Here is a 22,177-nt window from a genome sequence, read left to right as displayed (position 1 = left end):
CATATATTTCAGAGACACAAAAACTTGCATCCACATAAAAACTTACATGGAAATGTTCATAGCAGTGTTTTTTGTTTTTTGTTTTTTGTTTTTACGGAGTCTTGCTCTGTTGCCCAGGCTGGAGTTCAATGGCGCGAACTCGGCTCACTGCAACCTCCACCTCCCAGGTTCAAGCCATTCTCCTGCCTCAGCCTCCCTCCTGAGTAGCTAGAATTACAGGCACCTGCCATCATGCCTGGGTAATTTTTGGATTTTTGCAGAGATGGGGTTTCACCTGTTGGCCAGGCTAGTCTTGAACCCCTGACCTCAGGTGATCTGCCCACCTTGGCCTCCCAAAGTGCTGGAATTACAGGCATGAGCCACCACGCCTGGCCTCATAGAAGTGTTATTCACAATAATTCCAAGCTGAAAACAGCCCATACACCTTTAAACTGGTGAAAAGATAAACAATCTGTAGTAATAAACATCAAGCATACTACTCAATAATATACAGAACAAGGCATTGATACATATGACAACTTATATGTCTCCACAGAGCTATTTTGAATGAAAATAAAGCAAATTCTCAAAGATTACACACTGCATGATACAATTTATACATAACATTCTTGAAATGACAAAATTGTCAAAATGAAGAACATATGAATAATTCCTAGGCTTTAAGGTGGAAGAGAGGAGGAAAGTGGTCGTGGCTGTAAAAAGAAGCATAAAAGATCCTTTTGGCGATGGATATTTTCCATATCTTGGCTCTATCAATGTCGTGATTTTGGTTGTGGTATTGTATTATAGCTTTGAAAGATGTTTTGCAAGATTGGGAGAACTTGGTGAAAGGTACATGAGATCTCTCTGTACTATTTCATACAGCCACATGTGAATCTACAATTATGTCAAGATTAAAAAATTAGTAAAAAATAATAAGGAAAATATAGCTGGCAGAAAAGGGCATTCCAGATAGAGGTGAAACAAAAGTTCATGACATTTTTGAAAGGATTTGAAAGGCATGGTGATATACCATGTGGGATATCTATGTGATACACAATGTGGGAGCATGATATCAAGTTAAAATTAGGAAAATTTAGTATCACTTCATTGTTATAATGCACTCTGTAGCAATGGGCAGCAAGTTGCAAATATAGAATAAATTTGAGGTCTAAATTTTTTTAAAAATTTATAACTGAAAATTAAAATAAAGATCAGCAAATCACTGTGGCATTGTTTTGATTGCCTTGAAATTGATCAAATTTTAGAATAATTGAATATTGGTAAAACCTGCTGTGTTAAAATCAATATTTAGTTATTTCTATTATGTCATGCTCGAGACAGTGTACAACACTTTGCTATCATTTTGTATCATTTTTGAACCAAGAAATGGAGTATGAGAACATTATCTAATTTTTTTATCTGGCAACAGTTAAATTAATGATACATAAAAAGGATACATGAAATTATGTACACTAAATTGTGATAATCAAAGATTGTGACTGATGACTTTTTAAAATATGTTTTAAGATGCATTTTCCGGTTTCAAAAAGTACAAATAAAAATGATGACATTGACTTTATGTACACTGAATCAGAAGCATCCATCTACCCTTAATGAGCTGAATTTGCAATCCAAAAATCAGTCTTCCTAAACTACACAGTTCTCTACTTCACAGTGAAGCAATGAGTACCTTTCGCAAAGTTGCAGAGATTCAGCCATCAGAACTGTGCTGACAATTCTAATTCACAATGGAATTTGGTGTTACCAGTCCATTGCTCATTAGAATTTGCAGTGCTAGCAGGAGAACAATGTATTTTTGTAGGTAAAGTCAGCAACTGTAGCACTAAACTACAGTTTGGAACAAATAGGAGAGTGGCACTTTTGAGACTATAACTGCATTTTAATGACACAACTTTCTGCACTCTAAGCATAGGTCAAATCTGAGCCTCAAAACCAGGTGGAAATATTAGGAGAAGAGATAGTGGCATCCCTAAATCTCATGCCTACCTGACAATGACCTTTAAATCAAATATCATTTTGTCTATAAAAAAGGAACCTAAGAATTATATCTCACTCTCTGTATATATTACATTCATGCATTATAATCACACATGCCACTGTTATGTAAGATAAATGTTCTATTTGTGTTTTATACCTAATAATACTTATAATAAGTACAAAATAGCATCTCAGAAGATAGTGGTACAAAATTATTACTTCAATAAAACGTTATGGTAGGTATAAGCACGTGAACTGAATAGTGATTTGCTGTGAGGAAAAATGGAATATACTATCAGAATACCTGAGAGTAATTTGTAGACCCTCTTTTTAATGTTAATACTAAATCCAAAGTGTAGTCTCTAGGCCAGCAGCCTCAGTGTATCTGGGAGGATGTTAGAAATGTAAATTCTCAGATCTGGCCTCAGACTTACTGAATGTGAATTGGAATATTTATAAGATATGGTGATTTGTAATGTTTGTACACTGGTGAAGTATTTATCTGACTTGTGTATTCCTGATCCATATATTGGAAACAATACCCTTATGGTGGAATAATTATAAATGACAATGTGGCAAAATTTGTGAAAGTGCCTTTTTAACTGAAGGGGAATTATATGGTTTGGCTACGTCCCCACTCAAATCTCATCTTGAGTTGTAATCTCCATAATCCCTATGTTAAGGGAGAGAGATGGTGGGAGGTGATAGGATCATGTGGGCAGTTTCTTCCATGCTGTTCTCATGATAGTGAGTGAGTTCTCATGAGATCTGATGGTTTATAAGCGTCTAGCATGTCCCCTGCTTGCACTTCTCTTCCCTGCAGCCATGTGAAGAAGGTCCTTGCTTCCCCTTCACCTTACGTTATAATTATAAGTCTCCTGAGGTCTCCCTAGCCATGTGGAACTGTTAAGCCAATTAAACCTCTTTTCTTTATAAATTACTTGGTCTTGGGTATTTCTTTATAGCAGTTGTGAAAATGAACTAACACAGTAAATTGGTACCAGAGAGAGTGGGATATTTCCACAAAGATACCCAAAAATGTGGACACAATTTTGGAACTGGGTAACAGAAGATGAAACAGTGTGGAGGGTTCAGAAGAAGATAGAAAGATGTGCATCTAAGCCTACGAACTTCCTGGAGACTTGTTGAATGGTTTTGACCAAAATGCTGATAGTGATGTGGACAATAAAGTCCTAGCTGAGGTGGTCTTAGACAGAGATGAGGAATTTATTGGGAACAGGAGCAAAGGCCATTCTTGGTATGCTTTAGAAAAGAGACTGGTGGCATTTTGCCCCTGCCCTAGAGATCTGTGGAACTTTGAACTTGAGAGAGATAATCTGAAATTGTAACTTATGTTTAAAAGGGAAGCAGAGCATAAGAGTTTGGAAATTTTGCAGCCCAATGATGCAATAGAAAAGAAAAACCCATTTTCTGGGGAGAAATTCAAGCCTGATGTAGAAATTTGCATAAATAGTGAGGAGCCAAATGTTAAACACCAAGACAATGGGGAAAATATCTCCGAGGCATGTCAGAGATCTTGGTGGCAGCCACTCTCATCAGAGGCCTGGCGGTCTAGGAGGAAAAAATGGTTTTACAGGCCAGGTCCAGGGACCCCCTGCTGTGCACAGCCTCAAGATTGGTGCCCTGCATCCTAGTTGCTCCAGGTGTAGCTAAAAGGGGCAAAGATACAGCTTAGGCCATTGTTCCAGAAGGTGCAAAACCCAACCCATGGAAGCTGCCATGTGGTGTTGGTCCTGAGGTGCACAGAAGAATTGAGGTTTGGGAACCTCTGCCTAGATTTCAGAGAATGTATGGAAATGCCTGGATGTCCAGGCACAGGTGTGCTGCAGGGGCAGAGTCCTCATGGAGAACCTCTGCTAGGGCAGTGCAGAAGGGAAATGTGGGGTTGGAGTCCCTACACAGAGTCCCCACTGGGGCAGTGCCTTGAGGAGCCGTGAGAAGAGGGCCACCATATTTCAGACCCCAGAAGGATAGACCCACTGACAGCTTACAGAGTGTGCCTGGAAAAGCCACAGACACTCAATGCCAGCCATGAAGGCAGCCAGGATGGTAGGCAGTACCCTGCAAAGCCACAGGGGCAGAGCTGCCCAAGGCTGTGGGAGACCACCCTTTGCATCAGCATGCCCTGCATGTGAGACATGGAGTCAAAGGGGATTATTTTGGAACTTTAAGATGTAATGACAGCCCTGCTGGATTTCAGACCTGTATGGGGCCTGTAGCCCTTTGTTTTGTCCAATTTCTCCCCCTTTGGAATGGGAGCATTTATACAATGCCTGTACCCTCATTGTATCTTGGAAGTAACTAACTTACTTTTGATTTTACAGGCTCCTAGGTGGAAAGGACTTGCCTTGCCTAAGATGAGACTTTGGACTGTGGGCTTTTGGGTTAATGCTGGAATGAGTTAAGACTTAGGAGGACTGTTGGCAAGGTGTGACTGCATTTTGAAATGTGAGGTCATTAGATTTGGGAGGGGCCAGGGGTAGAATGATATGGTATGGCTGGGTTCCCACCCAAACCTCATCTTGAATTGTAATCCTCATAATCCCAACATGTTGAGGGAGGGACACGGTTGGAGGTGATTGGATCATGGGGGCAGTTTCCCTCATGCTGTTGTCATAATAGTTAGTGAGGTCTCATGAGATCTCATGGTTTTATAAGCACCTGGCATTTCCCTGCTTGTACTTCTCTCTCCTGCCACCATGTGAGGAAGGTCCTTGCTTCCCCCTTGCCTTTCACCATAATTGTAAGTTTCCTGAGGCCTCCCCAGCCACGTGGAACTGTGAGTCCATTAAACCTCTTCCCTTTATAAATTACCCAGTCTCAGGTGTTTGTAAATATGAAAACAAGGAAGTCAGGACTGAAATGAAAAATAGAGAACAAAACAAAATCAGTTGTTTGTTTCTGTTTTTCAAAGGAGCAGGACAGATATAATCCTGTTTTATCTATTTTGTGGTTGAAGAAACTAAGGCATGTGTAGGTTAAGAAACACATGTATTAGTCATACAGGTTGTAAAAGCTAGTACAGACACTGCTCTCAAACACTACTTCTTTTCCAGAACAATATTATCCCTAAGTATAGGACAGGGTCACAGTAAGTACTGAACAATCTAAGAGAGGGAAGATCTTACATTTCCTGGACAGTATAACTCATAGCTACATGTATTTTGGGGAAACTTTTGTGTCTAGAATTGGTGGGCTCTTGGTCTCACTGACTTCAAGAATGAAGCCACGGACCCTCGTGGTGAGTGTTACAGTTCTTAAAGGCGGCATGTCAGAGTTTGTTCCTTCTGATGTTCAGATATGTTTGGAGTTTCTTCCTTCTAGTGGGTTCATGGTCTCGCTGTCTCAGGAGTGAAGCTGCAGACCTTCACGGTGAGTGCTACAGCTCATAAAAGCAGTGCGGACTCAAAGAGGGAACAGCAGCAAGATTTATTGCAAAGAGTGAAAGAACAAATCTTCCACAGTGTGGAAGGAGACCCAAGCCGGTTGCCACTGCTGGCTCGGGCAGCGTGCTTTTATTCTCTTATCTGGCCCCACCCACATCCTGCTGATTGGTCCAATTTAGAGAGAGCCGAGTGGTCTGTTTTACACGGAGCTGATTGGTCCATTTTGACAGGGTGCTGATTGGTACATTTACAATCCCTGACCTAGACACAAAAGTTTTACAGGTCCCCACTAGATTAGCTAGATACAGAGTGTGGATTGGTGTATTTACAAACCCTGAGCTAGACACAGAGTGCTGATTGGTGCATTTACAAACCTTGAGCTAGATACAGAGTGCCCATTGGTGTATTCATAATCCCTTAGCTAGACACAGAGATTCTCCCAAGTCCGCACCAGATTAGCTAGATACAGAGTGCCGATTGGTGCATCCACAAACCCTGAGCTAGACACAGGGTGCTGATTGGTGTGTTTACAAACCTTGAGCTAGATACAGAGTGCTGAATGGTGTATTTACAATCCCTTAGCTAGACATAAAGGTTCTCCAAGTCCCCACTAGACTCAGGAGCCCAGCTGGCTTCACCCAGTGGATTCCGCACTGGGGCTGCAGGTGCAGCTGCCTGCCAGTCCCACGCCGTGGGCCTGCACTTCTCAGCTCTTGGGCGGTGGATGAGACTGGGAGCCATGGGGCAGGGAGTGGCGCTCGGGTCCGGGAGGCTTGGGCTGCGTGGGAGCCCATGGTGGGTTTGGGGGGAGGCTCAGGCATGGCGGGCTGCAGGTCCCGAGCCCTGCCCCACGGGGAGGCAGCTAAGGCCTGGCGAGAAATCAAGCACAACAGCTGCTGGCCCAGATGCTAAGCCCCTCACTGCCCGGGGCTTGCAGGCGGGCCAGCCGCTCTGAATGCGGGGCCGCAGAGCCCACACCCACCAGGAACTGGCGCTGGCCCACAAGCGCCACACGCATCCCCGGTTCCTGCCCGTGCCTCTCCCTCCACACCTCCTCGCAAGCCGAGGCAGCTGGCTCCGGCCTCAGCCAGCCCAGAGAAGGGCTCCCATGGTGCAGCGGCAGGGTGAAGGGCTCCTCAAGCACGGCCAGAATGGGCGCCCAGGGCGAGGAGGCACGGAGAGCGAGCCAGGGCTGTGAGGGCCGCCAGCATGCTGTCACCTCTCACTTTGGGGAATAAGGAAATCTTTTCTGAGATAACTTGCTTCATCTGCTTTTACCCTGCCTCTATAGTCTTTGTATTACTCCATTCTTGCACTACTATAAAGGCATACCTGAGACTACGTAATATATGACGAAAAGAGGTTTAATTGACTCAGTTTCACAGGCTGTACAGAAAGCATGGTTGGGGAGCCCTCAGGAAACTTACAATCATGGCAGAAGGGTGAAGGGGAAGCAAGCGTTTACTTCATATGGTAGAGTAAGAGAGAAGAGAAAGCTATACACTTTTAAACAACCAGGTCTCACTCACTATCATGAGAACTGCAAGGGAAAAATCTGTCCCCATGATGCAATCACCTCCCACCAGTCCCCTCCCCCTACATTGGTAATTACAATTTGACATGAGATTTGAGTAGGCACACAGAGCCAAACCATGTCAGTCTCTTTGCTTCCAAAGATTATGTATACTTGCCTAATTAAATTAGGAACAAAACCTAACAAAGTATTATGAATATGTGTGTGTGAGTGTGACCCATGTATACCAGAAATACTGTACTCCAATCAACTGGTCAGGCTGAGCTGTGCTCTTTTCCCAATAAACATGACACTTCCTCTTCTCTCTTAGCCTTACTACACTCTTCTGCTACAGTATGATTCAGGTAGGCTCTTTCTCTTATGAGAAGTAACAGCCGACTTTGGCTATCTTATGAAAAAAGGAAGTTAATTGTACAGATTTAGTTCAACTTTTTGTAAAATGGAAAAGCCTCTACTTCTCTTCTGTTCTCTGTACCCACCACTGTGCTCTCTCATTGTCACTTGGTGCGTTCTTTCTGTGTTTGAATGCACCTCCTTTCTATGGACGACAAACACAATGATTGACAAGAGTAGTACAACTTGAATTGTTCTCCCAGATACACATAAGAAAATTTCATTTCTTCCTTATGACTCCACTCAAATGCCACTTCTTCTGTGAAGATGCTTGGGGAAGAGGACATTGTGGAATCTTTTTGTTTCATAGAAAAGCCCTGAACACAATGTTTGTATTATGAAATCTTGGGAGTGACCATGATATTTTGGTAATCAGAAACTGTTCGTTAATTTTAAAAATCAGTGCAATTTCTTGAGTTGGCTTGGTTAATTTATGTTAATGTGCTATGTGAAGATTTAGAGAGCACTGTCTCTTCTTAACTTCTATGGCATTATTAGAGAATCCATTTTGAGTATCCACCCATTTCAGTGTTTCAACAAAAGGAAAACAATATTTGTTTGGGAGTAGGTGTCCTGGTGAATGCATGCTGACCCCAAATAATCATTTCTCTATTTCGCAGTTGTATGCAAACTATGGAATTAATAATTCATTTAGAAGTTTTCCATGGTCCAATATCAAACTGTCATTTATAGCAGGATTATCCAACTCTTTTCCAATTGCAGAGTATTGTAAGTGATAATATGCATAAGGCACATGGGGGTAAACAGAAGCGACTTCAGGCAGTAACTAACCCTTGACCCTGCTTGGCTGCCCCAAGTAGATACACTGTTTGCCTCCTCCTTGCACCGGTATGCTGGACGTCCAGCTGGGAAGCTTTGATTACGCTATGACAATTCAGAAACCTGCTGTATTAGTCCATTTTCATGCTGCTGATAAAGACATACCTGAGACTGGGCAATATATAAAGGAAAGAGGTTTAATGAACTCACAGTTCCACACAGCTGGGGAGGCCTCACAATCATAGCGGAAGATGAAGGAAGAGGAAAGGGACTTCTTACATAGCGGCGAGCAAAAGGAGAGAATGAGAGCCAGTTGAAAGGGGACTGCCTTCTTTAACCCGCTCCCTTATTAAACCATCAGATCTCGTGAGACCTATTCACTACCACAAGAACAGTATAGGGAAAACTACACCCATGATTCAGTTACCTCCCAGAGTGTCCCTCCCACAACATGTGGGGATTATGGGAGCTTCAATTCAAGATGAGATTTGGGCAGGGACACAGCTGAACCATATCACCTGCCTTCTCAGTTTTTAAAAAAAAATTTATTCAGGGACTATTTAGCCACTTTTAAATAATGTCTCAAAACTCAGATACATTCTTTCCTATATATATTGAATGGGTTTTTGGAAATCAAGAGCAGCAAAGGGGCCAAAATACAAGAGAAAGACAGATTTCTGAATGGTCCCCATTGACTAGCAAAAAGCTTTACAAGTAATAAGTGCTCAATAAATGCCAGTTGATTTAAAGTGTACCTTCTGCCATAGTGATAAATTGTTCTATTCTTTCTTTCTCTCTTTCCGTATTAATAGGGTAGAAAATGCCCTTCAAACACTGACCCTGTCATATTGCAGATGCCTTCAGGTAGGGACCACTTATCTATTTTAATGTACGCCTTCCTTGTCATTTATACCTGCCATTTTCAAGTTGATTTTTTATCAGATATGTACCATCTCATTTGTTTCTATGCCTAGTTCCTTTTCCTTTTGCTAAGGATCTGTGGCCAGCACTATTTGTTTCACATCCTTAAAAAATCTCTCTTCTGTCTTCTTTCCTAAAACAGTAGCCTGGTATTCTTTTTTGCAGAAGAGGTGGGCTGGGCTACTGGTTTAAAGGCAGTCATGTAGCCTAATTCTGAGCAATGAGACATAATAGCAGTCTGATGGGATATGGGGTCTGCGGGGGAGGGGTACTGGGAGAGGCTTTTGCTCAAAGAAAGTGAGAAGAGGGAAGTGAATTTTTGTATTTTGAACCAGCTCTGGTTTCCTGCCTTGAGTGTAGTGTGAAGATGAGATGTAGAGCTGCTTCAATCATTTTCAATCATAAGGGAAAGGCCAAGAAAATTACAGACATGCCACTGGAGGCTCCAATCGTGTTGAGTCAATGAACCTTCACCTGAAACTATTGACCTCCATTTTTTTTTTAAGATGAAGAAAAAAGAAAGAAATCCGTATTTCTAAAGCTCTGTCAGGTTTTATGTTACTTGGAGTCAAACCCCATGATGATTAATGGATGATGTGTGGATATCTAGTCATTATACCGTTTCTCTACAGTCTCCCATGACTTTTGATATTTTTTCATTTTAGAATTTTTCAGGTTGAGATTTCCTGAAGTGCAATGATCATAAATTTGTCAAATTCAACTCAACAAATGTTTACTATCTCATTCTTCTATTAAACTGTGGGCTGATGAAGGACAATGTTTTATTTATCTTTGCATATCTAGTATTTTGATGAAACATATAATAGATATTCAATAAATTTGTCTTGAATAAATTAATTTACATTTTTCTAACTGTACCAGGAATTGTGTTGGATGCCAGAGAAGCAAATATAAATGTAACATGCTAATTTCACACAATGATATATTTCATAATTTAGATGATATTTACGTGCCTTTTTTTTTCTTTCCAAAGCACTGTAAAACTTTGAGGGCAGGGCCTATGTCTGCTTTGTTCTTATAGATCATAAAGTTTTAGCAAGCAGTTTCAAACGTCTAAGACCTTAAAAGTCTAATGAAATTTAATAAATATGTGTCAGATAAATGTGTTCATAACTTCCCACCTCACGGTTGTATCTGAACTCTGTGAAAATTACCTTAGGAAATTAATGTCCTCATGCTCTTTGGTTTGTGTCTTAGTCCATTTGTGCTGGTATAACAAGTACTACAGACTGGGTAATTTATACATAATAGAAATTTGTTTCTTACAGCTCTGAAGGCTGGGAAATTTAAAGTCAAGGACCACCAGGTTTGGTGTCTGGTGAAGGCTGCTCTCTTTGCCTTTGAGATGATGTCCTGTTTCTGTGTCCTCCTGAGGGAATGAACACTGTGTCCTCACATGGTTGGCAGAATCAGAAGTGGAAAAGGGGCTTAAGCTAGCTCCCTCCAGCCCATTCATAAGGCATGTAATCATTTATCTAAAAGGCTCACCTCTTTATACTACCACAATCAGGATGAAGCTTCAATGTGCATCTGGGAGGGGACACACATTCAAATTGTAGTCCATGGGTTACTTTAATCAAACTCCAATTTTTTAAATATTTACTCCCCTCTTAGTTCATTTAGAATCTTGTCACCATGTTCTGTACACAGTTTTAATTTCTCTCTTTCTCTTTTTCTTTTGATAAGGGTAAACTCTTTTGTACATATGATGAGTCTATAAAGTCTTGACAATTTTATGTATGTAATATTTCATAAAATTTCACAAATACTTTATTATACCTATCCTTTGAAATCAGTATGAGAAAATCTAATAAAATTTTTTTATAATTCTCTTTCTTGAATTTTTACATGAACTCCACATCTCTTTCATATTTATTGGTTGTTGTTTTTTTTTTTTTTTTTTTTTTTTTTTTTTTTTTTTTTTTTTTTGCCAAATCTATTGCCCTTCATAGCTGTTAAGAAGGGAAACTAGAAGTTATCGGTCCTATGCTGGAGATTGACCAGAAGTGGTTTGAAATGGCGTTTGATTGCACTTGTCTATGATAATAAAAATGAAAATAAGTTGTTCCAACAAAAAGATGATTGTACCTGACAAGCAAAGCTGGTGGCTTATTAATAATTAAAAAATATTTCTGTGTTCTGCCACTGATGGAATATTTAATCGCTTGTTCAGTCAATACCAATGTACCATTTATTATACATTAAAGATAAATGTAGTGTAATGGCTATGAATTGCAATGTGTTACATTGAGATTATAAAGGGCATGAAAAGTTGATTTATTATTTAGAAATTGATTAAACTCTTCTACTGATCTCAATGACTGGGATAACCCATCAGATTTCCACAATTAAACAGAGTTTTAACAATAAAAAAAAAAAGGTTGGCGGCAATATTTAACTAGCTAAGGGTAGGATGATCAAGACAGTAACTAAAGTGAAGGCTCTGCTTCAAGGGTTAATGTGAGTTTCTTAGAGAAGAAAGAGTGTGACACCCAGGAATGATTTCCATATTTTCCAAAAGCATTTTCTTCCATTTCTAGTATGAAGATGTCAAAGGCTCTTGCTTTTAGCACAAGCAAATTGCATTCAAGAGCTTTAGATCTGAATCACTTTTTTCCCTTCTCAGGTAGAGTTGGTTGAGTTCTTAGAGAGCTTTAAGAATTATTTATTTTCCTTTCTTTCTAGGCCTTTTGAGTCTTTTACTCACATTAGGGCCAAATATAAAAAAAAAAAGGCTTCTCTTTAATTCTTGTTTTAAGTTTTTCCTACCCTCCGTGCCACTAGAAGTGAAACTCTCAGCTGAGAAGTAATTTCTCTTTTTGAGACCTCAACGGTCTTTCCGTTATAGGCTATGGATGCTACCTACATAAGTTAAAAGGACTTTCATTTCTTTCTAGTAAAATGATGTCAGAAAAAGTTGGGAGAGAAGGGAGAAAAAATTGTTTGTTCTAAGAAAAGGAAGTTTCCAGGATTTCTCCAGTGAATTCACATCTTGTACGTAGCTCAACTAAGAAAACTGAGTTTTAATTTGGGACAAGTTGGTATTTTCTTTGAGAAAAATGGACTTGAAGCCATAGCATACAGTAAAGAGAGCATCTCAGCATCTCAGGGCATTTAAAAGTCACAGTTCCATCTGAAGTCAAGAAGCTTATGTTTTGGTGCACAAATGATTATATGCTTCTTTCTTGCTATAGGAAATTGTGTGTTTTTGAAAAGAAGTTTGAATAGCATCTTGATACAGAAAGATGATATTATGGGAGGGGATTAAAATGGCAATCCGCAACCTGTCCCTTGGTGGCTACTATGGTTTTAATGTTTGTGTTCCTTCAAAATTGATATGCTGAAACCTAACACCTGAGGTGATAGTGTTAAGAGATGGAGTCTTTGGGAGGTGATTACAGCATAAGGGTTCCATTTTAATGAGCTTGTTTGTTGTTTTGCCATGTGAGGACAAAGCAAGAAGATGTCATTTGTAAGAAATAGAGCTGGCCAGGCACAGTGGTTTATGCCTGTATTCCCAGCACTTTGTGATGCCAAGGTGGGCGGATCATGAGGTCAGGTGTTCCAGACCAGTCTGACCAACATGGTGAGACCCCATCTCTACTAAAAATACAAAAATTAGCCAGGCGTGGTGGTGCTCACCTGTAATCCCAACTACTCAGGAGGCTCAGGCAGGATAATCCCTTGAACTAAGGAGGCAGAGGTTGCAATGAGCCGAGATCATGCCACTGCACTCCAGCCTGGGTGACAGAGCAAGACTCCATCTCAAAAAAAAAAAAAAAGAAATAGAGCCCTCGTCAGACATTAAATCTGTCAGTGCCTTAATCTTAGGCTTTCTACCTCTAGAACTGTGAGAAATAAATTTCTGTTCTTTAGAAGCTACTCAGTCTATAAAACTTTGTTGTAGCAATAAGCACAGCCTAAGACAGTAGCAACGGTGCACCAAATCGAAAGCTGCATAAGGACTTCTTGATTTTAGAAGCATGGACTGAGTGACTGCTGTGTATCAGGCACAATGTTAAACTTAAAGCCAATTATGTGATAAAACAGTATAATTTGATGAACATAAGGAATCAAAGGATAAAGACATGATCTCATTGATAATGGGGCAGACTCTCTGACAATTTTCCAGTGTTAGAATGTAAACTATTCTAAAATGAGGCAACATGAAAAGATTTTGATTTTTGTTGGATTTTTATTTTGTTAAATTAAAAAAGTTATAGGCAATCTGCATTCTATATCATCCTCTATCATTTAAACCTAAGATAAAACATGGGTCCCAGGAGCAGATTTGGAAGAAAAGTCCCTTATGCCACTTTGGGTTGCAATTAATTATCCTCATTTTCCTAGAATTTCATTTCTCAAAGTCATGGTGGATACCTGAACATAACTCAGCCCTCATCAAAGTGAGAGGGATATGAACTTACAAAGTATAAGTTCTTAAAAGTGTTTCTCTGAAAGTGATCAGATGCTTGGATTTATTTCACAACCAGTTATCCAGTATGTCCAGATGTGAACCAGGATGCATTTAATTGATTCAGAAAGATTTAATACTTTACATATGTAGCTACTTTTTCTCCTTGTATTCACATTTTCACTGCAGTACAAATGGGTTAACACAATTGGCTAACACAATTGGTTCTTATCATGCAGATTACCAATTAGGTACTCCAATTGATGACCCAATTTCCTTAAAAGCTTTTTAAAAAAAACTCTCTCTCTTTTAGGATTCCAAATATTATCTGGCCATTTTGGGAACTCAGTGTAGATCTAGCTGTACCTGTGCCCATCTCAGAAACAATCATTCTGTTTTCCAAAGATTAACTTAATTTTCTGCCTGTTTTACATTCTTCCTTTGATTATGATTCCCTGAAGCTGATTGAGCCAACATGAGGATGTGTTATACAGCTGACTAATAAGAGTGGCTTCTAGTTAACTAGGTTTTCAAATCACAGCCTCTTCCCTAGTTTGAATTCCCATTTATTCATTAACATTAAACAATGTGTACCCTGTGCCTCTTAGGTCTAGATACTCTTCTAGATGTAGGGGTGCATCAGGAAGCATAGTGGACAACAGTTCCTTTCATATGGAGCTTACAATCTCCTGGGGGTTCACCAAAGGCAGTGGCAAGAGAGAGAATAACAAAACAACTAAATGCAGCAATCAGAATTTTTATAGTACTAAGAGCTATGAAAATAATTAAACCTGGTAATATATATAGAATAGCAGAGTGTTTGTTTAGATTTCATTTGTCTGGATTTAACCAGGGGATGCTTTTCTGAGGTGAGGATATTTGAGCTGAGGTCTGAATGACATAAAATAGCCATCCATGCAAAGACCTGGGTGCAGACAGAACAGTAAGTGCAAAGGCCCTAGGATAAGAACAAGCTTCCAAGTTCCAGTAAAAACAAAAGGGTGGTGTGGCTAGAGAAGCAAGAGTGAGATGTAGTACCTCAGTCTGTGCTCCCAAATGCCAGGCCCTAGACAAACGTTTGTAAGAGTTAAGAAAAAGGAAAGAAACACGAAACGTGGCTTGACAGTCAAAGACAGGTTTATTTTAGATTAAAAACCTGAGAGGGGCTTCTGGCTGATATTTTTTGGTCAGGAGTGCTTTCTCTTACAGACTAGGAGTATATATTGGTTTCAGGGTAAGGAGGCTTATTACAAGCTTGGAATGTTTCTGTGTGGAGGAGAAGTTTTATGATGGGGTTGGAATGTCTCTGGGCAGAGGGGAAGGTATCTTGGGGCTGACATCTTTCCAGCAAAGGACATTATCTTGAGGCTAGCATGTCTCTGGTCAGGGAGGAGTTTGGAATGTTTCTGGTTGAAGATGTTATTTCTGGTTTATTGTTATGCTGACCTTAGCCATTAGGCTCATGCCCTTTGGATTTAGGCAGTTTTTGATTAAGGTGAACTTTAGAATGAGGTGCTTGTCCACGATGGTGATGCTCCTGCCCTGTGAAGATTGTGTGCCACTATTGTAAAGTAAAAACCCGGAGAGCAGAAGTAGGCACAAGGAGGGTGAAACCTAATAGGCACTAGAGCCAATATGAGGATATGTTATCAAGCTAACTCTTATCAGGTAAGAGTGACTGTTGGCTTGCTCTTTAGGAATTCTCTGAGAAATCATATAAACTGTCTCAAGAAGAAGTGAGAAAATTTACCCACCAGCTACCATTGCCCATTGATCAAGTGTTTAAACCACAACATATTACTCCCCTGCACACCTGGAATGTGCATGTTTTGGCAGCAAGTGAGAGTCTTGTTTTCCCACATGGCAGCATCAGTAAAGAAGCCCAGGACAGGAGGTATGGGGCACACTAGGAAGCATGAAGGAAATTGACAAGTTGCAATTGTGTGAGTACAGTCAGGGCCTACCAAGAATGGCATCCACAATGATGACTAGAACAAGAAACCATAAGTCATTTATTGCAGAGAGAGCAACATTCAAAATGGCTTAGGAAAATTAAACAGGTCTCAGAATTTATTCGGTCTTAGGGGTCATGATACAAGGTCTTGATTTTGTTCTAAGTATGTTGGAAAGACCCAGGAGGTTATTAAGCAGAATAAAATTTGATTTGTTTTATATTTTAAATAGATTACTCTGGATTTCAGTAGGGAACTACACGTCAAGGGGTAAGAGTGGAATAGTTTTTTCAGAAAAGTAGCTGGCAAACTATGACCTGTGGTTAGCCCATCTCCTGTTTTTGAAAAAAAATAATTATTGGAACACAGCCACCCTTATTCATTCCATATTGTCTGTGGTTCTTTTAGCACTGCTGAGACAAAGTTTAGTCATTGCAACAGACACCATATGTCCTACAAAGCCTAAAATATTTACTATTTGACTATTCAGAGAAAAAGTTTGCTGAACTTGAGTAATTTTTCTACAATAATCTGATTGTGTTATTATCTAGCCTGCTATCCTTCCATGGTTATCTGCTCTCTCTCTTTTTTTCTGCGTTATCTGCTCTCTTTATGATGTATTATTACATTAACATTAATATATAATAAAGCTTTATTTAGAATGCAAATCTTTCTTCTTTCAAAATGCATGTTACTTTTTATATGCCATGTTGTTTATCTAATTCAAAGTTAAGTGATATGCTAAGAACTATAACCAGTGCTTTATATATGTTAAGTGTATTAGTTTGTTGCAGTTTTTAAAACAGGAAAAATCTCAGTTGCTTACCAGAGCAAACGTTTCTTTTCTTTTGCATAACTTGCTAGCAGTTGTGAGTGAGCTGTGAAATCTCTTCCCCAAGAGTTTTCTCATTTTGGAATCTAAACTGAAGAAATAGCTATTATTTGGGATATACTATTTTCCTGACAGAAGGAAACAATAATAACTTGTGGAAATTCACAAGTCTTCTTAAAGCTTTTGCTTTAATGATGCACACATTACATCTGCTCATATACCATTAATCAATGCATATCAGATGGCCAAACTCAAAATCAATGGAGTGAGAATGTTCATTATTCTGTGGTGGAGTGGATACAGCAAATCACCTGTTAAGGAGGAAGTGAGTTATACTTTTCTAACAGGAAAGGTTGGAGGAGGGGAATCATTGATGTATTGACCCAGCCCCAAATCTTCTTTTTATTGCCTTGGCGTGTGATACTGGAGCTGGACCATGTAAACATTTCTCTTTAGTCAGCTCAATTTTAGTCAATAGAGGGTGCTGGAGGGACACTGCAAAGCCAGAGCAGGAGCAAAGGTTTTCCTTCCTGATTAAAGTTGCAGGATTTAGCAAACAAAATAAAGGATTCCCAGTTAAATTTGAACTTTGGATAAATAATTAATAATTTTGTTATACTATATACCCCAAATATTGTATGAGACATACTAAAAATTATTCATTGGTTAATTCATGTGTAGCTGAATGTCTTGTGCTTTATCTGGCAAGCATATCATGGTTCCAGTGAGGGTTTTTTTATTTTTATTTTTAAATTTTATTTTATTTATGTTTCTGTTTTAAATTTTATTTATTTATGTATTTATTTATTATACTTTAAGTTATAGGGTACATGTGCACAATGTGCAGGTTTGTTACATATGCATACATGTGCCATGTTGGTGTGCTGCACCCATTAACTCATCGTTTACATTAGGTATATCTCCTAATGCTATCCCTCCCCGCTCCCCACACCCCACAAGGTAGCAGTCAGAAGCTCATTCTATAGGAGGCATGGTAGCAGTCACATCAGAGGTCCACTGGCTAGCTGCAGTCTTACCCCCCAGCAAGTTTCTCTGCATACAAGCTTCAAATCAGACCAACAGGATGCATACTCCTGTGGTAAGGTAGATACACCTTCTCCAAAGCATTTGAATCTCACCCTTGAGGGGACAGTCTTCTAAGCAGTTTGTCACTTCCTTGTTCTCTCTCATTTTGGTGGCAGCTGCTCCCTGCATTTGCTATGTGTGTGCCCTTTACAGTCCTCTTTTATCGTTTTTTTTTTTTTTTTCAATTTAACCACCTTATGTCAGTTTATGGTTAGATATACCAAAATTTTCATGTTCAAATTACTGATGTGTTTTTTGTCCTGACTAGACCCTAATACAATTGAGCACAATAATACAATCTATCACACAAGATAATAAATACCTATCAGAAACTACTTAATCCCATTTCACAGATAAGAACATGTCTTAAGGAATTCATACAATGAGTGAAAAGTCACAGACCTAGTGAGTAATAGAAGTTTGATGCAAAAGTAGGTCTAGATGTTTGTAGTTTCATGTACTTAATTTGTCCCTGACTATCTTTCTAGCCACTAAATGGAAGATAATTTCAACATTTACTCTATATAATTAATATATACCCTTGTAATTTATCAGCTGGAAGAGTGAGTGATGCCTTCTTCTGCCGTTTATGCCTGCTGAATGTAATTATTTCATTGTTTCCATAGCATACTTTTCCCATTTTACAGGTAAGAGATTTGGGCAGAATGAAACAGAATTGGGGGAAATTCTGTTACAGGCAAAACTGTGTTCACCTCAAATTTCAAAAGTTAGGCTGGGCACATTGGCTCACGCCTGTAATCCCAGCACTTTGGGAGGCCGAGGTGGGTGGATCACCTGAGGTCAGGAGTTCAAGACCAGCCTGCCCAACATGGTGAAACCCCATCTCTACTAAAAATACAACAATTATCTGGGCATGGTGGTGGTCGCCTGTAGTCCCAGCAACTCGGGAGGCTGAGGCAGGAGAATGGCGTGAACCCGGAAGGCAGAGCTTGCAGTGAGCCGAGATTGTGCCACTGCACTCCAGCCTGGGCGACAGAGCAATACTCCATCTCAAAAAATAAAATAAAATAAAATAAATAAAATTCATAAGTTAAAGTCCTAAACCCCAATACTTGAAAATGTGACCATATTTGGAGATAGGGCCTTTACAGAAGTAATCAACATGACTGATGTCCTTATAAAAAGGTGAAATTTGGACACAGACATATACATAGAAAAAAGATGATGTGAAGAGACAACAAAAGAAAACAGCATCTATAAACCATAAAGAGAGGCCTAGAAAATTATTTTTTCAAAGGCCTCAGAAAAAATTAAAGCTGCTGAGAACTTGATTTTGAACTTCTAGCCCAGAACTATAGGAAAACTTCTGTTGTTTAACAACCCAGTCTATTAAAAGTAATGGCAAAAAACACAATTCCTTTTGCACCAACATAATACTTTCTTATGGCAGCCTCACCAAACTAATATAATCACTAACAAGTATTATTCTTTTCACAGGAAGATGCTGTGAATTTTCTCTCTGATGCTTTTCTAATAATAGGGAGAGGTGTTAAAGTTGTTTTATTTTTCTGTTCTTCTTATGAAAATAGCATAGATTATAGTTGAACTTATTATCCATGAACTTCATGCATGCAGCAAGAGGTTATAACACCATAATACACTCAATGTCTGATATAGGGATTAAAGTGTTACCAACTTGGTTCATATTTCTCGTCTCTATACCTGTATGTGGTTCATGAGCCAGTAGCATTGACATCACCCTGCAGTTTCCTTAAAAGGCAGAATTTCAGGCCTCACTGCAGAATTACTGAATCAGAATTTCCATTTTAACCAAGCCCTTAGGTGATAATTGTGCATATTACTGGTCAGAATTACCCTCTTCATCTACAACAACAACAAAAACACCAAACAACAACAACAACAAAACAACCTCTCATAATTTACCTTTCTTCTTATTTTTGTACATTCCTAAAGTGATATTTTAGACTACTAGAGTTAGCTTCTTGGAAGCACTGGAAATGTTTAGTTGGTTACAAGCACATCCGTTTTATTCACAGCTGGTTTGGAATCAATTAGCTGAAACTGAAATACCTCTAGAAACTCAATAATGTGATAATTGTTCTTAATTATTTCACTGTGAATTTTTTCCTGCCTAATTGTTACTTGGATCATAATAAGTGGATTCTCAAAATCAGAAAGAGTCTTTTGTTTTACCATTGCTAGATGCAAGAAGTCTTGCCACATACATTCATTTTGTAGCTCTTTAATATGTGGATATTTCAACATTTTGGATAAATAGATGAAACCAAATGTGACTCAAAGAAAACCATTTGTGGTTGTGGCATGCAAAAAACATAACATAAGGAATTTCTGGCTATATTAATCGATTTTTGTCATCCTCACTTTCACCTTTGGTAACATTAGTCATCAGCAGAATTTTCACAAAACAAAACACTTAACAAATATTATCTTCTGGATTTGTAACTGAAATAAAATTCTGCTGGAATCCACTTTATTTATGTCTTTCTTTTATATCTTTTTTCCTAACAAAAGGAAGAATCATTCTTCCTTTTGTTATTGAAGTTGTATGTTTTTGTTTTTATTGGGGACATGGAAGAGTTTTCATTTATCTTCAAGTTGAGAAACACATTCAGGAAGAGAATGAAAACCTCACCAATTTTATCTGTGGGATTTGGAGACCCAAAGTATTGAAGACACTCTCATTCGCTGCTAGTGAGAGTGTAAATTTTTGAAATAAATAAAAAGGGGGTACTCTGGCAATATTTACTGGATTTATAATTGTTCATGTATTTTAATTCTACAATTAGACTTCCTAATTTTATTCTAGAGCTATACTTGCATAAGCTCAAAATTACATGTAACAAAGTTATTTATTGCAACATTATTTGTAAAGGCAAACATTTTGAGACATTCTAAATCACTTAAAACTGGTTAAACATAAAAGTGTTATATAGTGTGTTTTATATACCACTATTTGTATAAAAAGAGGAAAAGATTGTATAGTTTTAGCTGTTCGTATTTCCATAAAATGTATCTGGAACTATACACAAGAAATAAAAGCATATGAGGAGGAGATATGGATGGACATGATAATTTTTACTGTATAATCCAATTTGCTTTCTGACTTTGGGAACATTCAAGTAAAAATTCAATTGAAAAATAATAAAAGCCAAAAAAAAAAGATTATGTCCCAGTGCAACAGCAACAAAATCAACTGTAAAATTCTGTGGCACTGGATGAGTATTGGAAGGTTTTAGAATAACAATCTGGTTACTACTATAAAGTCTGCTAAAGTCAATCCAAAAAATCCTCTGACTTAAGTTTAATGTTGAGACTAAGCAAGTGTTTGTTTTAATCTTGTGCCTGGAGAAGGTACATATTGTAAAATGTTCTGGGATGACTTTACACTTATTCTGAATTGTAATGAACATAGCTGTCTTAATCTATTTTGCTTGTTTGGTTCTCCCAGTGTTCAATGTTTGCATGACCAAGCTGTGCTAGACAAATTCTGATGAAATAAACTGCATGAATGATGAGCGATTCCCACTGTACCAAAGAATCTAAACTTGGCTCTGTCTATTTCATGCATCAAGGTCTCTTGGCCACTCCCTACTCTCCAGTAATTAATTTCCTAACATGCTTCCTTTTCAGTATGGCAAGCTGCAGGTGCTGGTCACCCACAGGACACCCTCCTGATGGTTATTAGCCATCACTAGTTTCCTGTAAGAATATTCTCCGTAGACAATGCAGGTTACTAATCAAGACAGTAACATTAGATTTTCACTTGAAAAAATGATTTTGGAATATTAGGAGAAGTAAATCAAAGTACAGAACAGAGATTCTATAATAAATAGGCTTTTGAGAAGGTGCTAGAGAGCTTTATGCTTATTCTCTTACAGGACTATATAAATCACTTTCTCCACATTTATCGAGACATAATGTACAGATATCAACTATTTGCTCTCATACAAACATAGCCTACTCTTTTACCTTTTTAAGCCTTTGAGCATTTTGTTTCCTCTAACGGGAATGCCTTTCTCTCACCATCTATCTTCTGAATTACAATTTATCCTTCCAAATAGTTAGTGTCTTTTGAGTGAACTTTCTGGGATTTGCTTCTTTGTGTCTCCCATAGAATTAATCCCTCCTTCATCTGGGCTGTTGCTTTTTGTATATACTCCTGTTCCTACAATGTCAGCATAGTGTTGAAATTATTATTTATATACCTGGGGAACACATTTTATTAAATCTGTTCATGTGTTCTAATAAGAGACATAATTTTCCAATTTATACATTTGATTTTTTTAAAAAGGCTATAAATATAAAATCACAGTAAATTACACATTTTATGGTTCATTCTTGTTAAAAAATATGCTTACATAATATTAGGACTGTCTCACAAAATGTGTGGCCATTGATATATAATTATAAAATAAATATATTTACATATATATTTATATGTATGCATATGTAAATATATATGTAGTACATTTGCCTTATATTTTAGAGTCCATGAAGTGGCATTCATATCTAAAGAAAGGTGTGCCTTCAAGACCTCCTTTATATGCTCCCATCTTCTCTTGTCCTCTAGAGGAAGAACAATGATTTTGATTGGAGAGATTCCAGAACATTTGCTGGGCTGCGTTTGTAAGAGAGTGAGATCACTGGGCTGCAAAGTTTCAGCACATGGCAGTGGATTTCTGTTTCTGTCTCTTTTCCTGCTGGATCTGGCATGTGATGTGTGCCTAGATTCTAAATTGCACTTAGCTCCTGTACTCATTAATTTGGTCTAATCTGGCTCACTGCAGATTTTCATTGATTTGTCAAGCTTAAAGACAACTTATGAATTGACATTTATTTGCTGTAATTTCTTGT

The 22,177-nt window shown here is 38.5% G+C and overlaps 1 long non-coding RNA gene across 2 annotated transcripts in view; it reads left to right on the top strand.

Annotated features, from left to right (window-relative positions):
- The window catches only part of LINC02741 (long intergenic non-protein coding RNA 2741), a 125,191-nt gene that overhangs the window by 85,231 nt on the left and 17,783 nt on the right, over window positions 1–22,177 (top strand). Inside the window, exons 3-4 of one of the 2 annotated variants that reach the window (XR_931218.3) lie at window positions 8,907–8,958; window positions 10,305–10,868. The exons of the other annotated variant lie outside the window; for it this stretch is intronic. This is a non-coding gene — a long non-coding RNA (long intergenic non-protein coding RNA 2741). Of the gene's footprint in view, window positions 1–8,906; window positions 8,959–10,304; window positions 10,869–22,177 lie in introns of those variants that run through there. 2 annotated transcript variants of the gene reach the window in all.

The sequence above is a fragment of the Homo sapiens genome, chromosome 11, assembly GCF_000001405.40.
Source record: "Homo sapiens chromosome 11, GRCh38.p14 Primary Assembly".
NCBI classification, from domain to species: Eukaryota; Metazoa; Chordata; class Mammalia; order Primates; family Hominidae; genus Homo; species Homo sapiens.
The sequence above is the reverse complement of the archived record's forward strand: the minus strand, read 5'-3'. Positions and strand labels throughout refer to the sequence as shown.